The 3321-nt window shown below is 42.0% G+C and overlaps 1 pseudogene; it reads right to left on the bottom strand.

The window, feature by feature from the left end:
* On the bottom strand, positions 1112-1238 carry RNA5SP31 (RNA, 5S ribosomal pseudogene 31; annotated as a pseudogene).

Raw genomic sequence — 3321 nt, 5'->3', positions numbered from 1 at the left:
GTATGCAAACAAGGGAGAGGACCGGAGAGCTTTTTAGGGATTCTGGGGAAAGCCAAAACTCCCTATGCGAACTGTTAGCCCAACATAGAAGAAACTGTACAAACCTGCGAACCACAACATGAGCAAGAGAAAGCATTAGGAAAATATGAAGAAATTAGAGGGGATGACTATTTATGGTCTAGACAGGATTCATATCAAGCCAGAAAGCTTGACTTTGAATAAAACACCGAAAAAGACTCAGATATCAGAAAGACAAAGAGAAACAGAAAGAAACATTTACTGATTGACTTAAGGGATCAACAGCAGCAGAAGAGATGGTTTTGCTCCCTTCCTCCTTTCTCTCATACCTCTGTTTGAGAAGGACCCTACCCTTCTTACATAACATGGGTTGGGGCCATGTAAAAAGACAAAAAGGAGGGCTAGCACCACTCAGCGTGTTGTGGGTGAAAGACCACGAGCTTTGGGTTAGCCCAAAGCAGAAGCACAGCTCTTCTCTTACTAGGTATGTGATCTAAGGCACATCACTCAACTGCTCCTACAAGATTAAGATATGGTTTATCTCTATATAGGTGATTCATTAAAGTTCTGTAATTATTACACATTAGAATAAGAAGGAATGAAACTCCTGTTCATTATGTTTGAGTTGTTACATTTTGGATTGTTACAGTAAATTAGAGAGTATTTTGGAGTGGTTAACATAACCTGGTCATAAGAATATTTTAATTCTTAGATGTGTCCTGTAAGATAGAGTAATTGAAGCAATAATAAAGTCCTTGTCTCTGAGTGCGTCTTAGGAGAGACTGATGAGAACAAAACCATTGGTCAGAAGTGATACCCTGCTCTGATGGACAGAAGCTGAGCTGAGGATACATGATGTGTAGACCTGGCCTCAAGTAGGAGTACATGCTGAGAGGGTGCTTTGAGTCCCAACCTGATCTCTAGGACTTCCCCTTGGCCAGAACAAGCTGTTGAAAATGGGGAGTTCAAGGTGGTCAATTAGCTGACATGGCGGGGAGCCACATCCATCCTGGGGAAAGACACAAACTGACAGTTTCTTGCCTTGGATCACAGGCAGAACAGGCAGGTGGGATTGGTGAAAACGAAGAAGCCAGGAGTGGGAGAGCCATGCCGCTTTTTATTTGCTTCTTTTTCCCATTCAAATCCTAACCAGGATCAACCCTGCTTAGCTTCTGAGATCAGACAAGATCAGACACATCCAGGAAGGTATGCTTACAGACTTGTACTTTTTTTCTTTCTCAGTAAGTGCGTGGTTCTCAGAGTGCCCAAATCTATCAAAACATATGGATGAGAATTTATAATAGGCTGCTTTAACTCTTTGCTCCTCCTCCTGATGTTGGTGCTACAGCTCTTTCTTTGAAAGATAATCATAGCCATCAAGCACATTCTGTAGAGAGAGCAGTGTGGGAAGCTAGAATGAGCAAGAGTGGTTGGGATGCAGAGCTCTCTCATCATAGAGAAGTGCTGGAGTTAGCCAATAATCCAGGGTTGACCAGCTGTCCAGATTGGATGGCACATTAGGCAATGGCCAGCTTGGTCTTCAGCATCCCTATGCCAATCTCTTTAGTTATAAACAGCACTTCCCCATTTAGTTTGTAGCTCAGGTAAGTCTTAATTCTATGGGGTTTCACATGATCCCTGTCCTCTGATAGCCAGCGTGACTAACTTCCCATTTGCCCAAGACTTTCCTACTTCTAGCACTGGGTCCTGAGAAACCTCTCAGTCTCAGGCAAACTGGGATAGTTGTTCATACTCTACAACACAGTGTCTTCAAGGACCTCTCCTTAGACAGAATCCTGGTGACATGGGATCCCTGGGAACTCACATGTTGGGACCTGAGAGCAGATTTGACTCCTTCGGCCACTGAACAGTCACCATTCACATCCTTGCCTCTTTGTTAAGGCAGCAAAGCCTGGAATGCAACAAGCATTGCCTCATAAGAGGTTTGCTAAGCTGGTGAAGACATGCTGTTTCTCCTCCTGGGATCTGGTTTTGAATAGGATTATGGAACAAAACGAGAAGATGGGGAAATAATTTGTCTAGATACAGTTAGACAGCCATACCAATTTAATTTTGCAATAAAACGGATATCTTCTGCAACTGAAAGACAAGTGGTGAGGCAAAGCATCTGTTTAACAGTAAACAGAGCTGTAAGTCTGCCTTTGGAGTCTAAGACAAAAAGCAGCCACCTAGTCAGAGTATAATTCATTAAACTGGTCAGATTCCATTACTGTGAACTTCCACCAACACAGAAACAAGAAGAATATTAGCTAAGCCTTTTAATCACTTGGGTGTACAGAGATTTTCAACATGAAAGCAGTCGTTGCTGTGGGATCCAATTGGTCCCAATTATGCCACACACACAAGTGATGCTAATACATTGTTGATTTGTTTCTGGATGCCAAGACAGTGATGTCATGATTGAAGGTTCTTTACCTGGTTGGTGTATTTGTGTAAGAAATTAAAATGAAATTAGTGGAGAAAATAGGCGAACAACCCATATAAATAAATATTCAAGAATATCAAAAGCTCTGGACTCAAATTTGTGTTACTTGCCTAGAATCATGTTTATCAGAGATAAGCTTTAGTCAACACAAGATTAATTTAGACCTGATATCACAAACTAGCAGCTCATAAGACAAAGAGGCCCAGTTTGTGGTTGTTTCATTTTTAATTCAATTAGGGTTAAACATGGCAGATCAAACACATGTTTATCTTCTCTCTCTCCTGAAATGTCACTAAATAGTAAATTAATAAAACTAGTATGCACTCCCAATGATGAAGAGAGTGGGAAGAGAGGCGGCAGAGTGCAAGAGATGCAAACAAAATTTTGGAAGACAGAGTGAATTAAGAAGTGGTGACTGATTTAGCAAAGAAAAAGGTGAAATTTAAATACCTTCAGAGGGCAATAATAACAAGAAGCTGTGTAATCTACCCTTTGGAGCTAAAGTGTCATAACTCAGAAGTAACAGATTTCAGAGTATACTTGCGGTCCAAATACCAGGATGGGTATAAAAGCCTTTTCAAGGGGCAGTTGGACTCTCAAGTCCCTGTTCCCAGTCTGTGTGGTTAGGCAATTCCCCTTATGCTCACCTCCAAGGAGACCAGATGTTTACTCTTTTGAGGGACTGAACCTGAGCCACTCCAGACTCAGAGACATCTCATACAGTAGAGGACTGAGGCAGGAGGCCTAATTGGAAGTCTACATACAGAACTACTGAGAAGCCCAGTGCCCTCTTCTGCTCCCCAGCCCCTAGAGCACCAAAAGCCAGACTCATACGGCTAGGATATCTTTTCTGAAAA

Source organism: Homo sapiens, chromosome 13 (genome assembly GCF_000001405.40).
Source record: "Homo sapiens chromosome 13, GRCh38.p14 Primary Assembly".
Taxonomy (NCBI): Eukaryota; Metazoa; Chordata; class Mammalia; order Primates; family Hominidae; genus Homo; species Homo sapiens.
The sequence above is the reverse complement of the archived record's forward strand: the minus strand, read 5'-3'. Positions and strand labels throughout refer to the sequence as shown.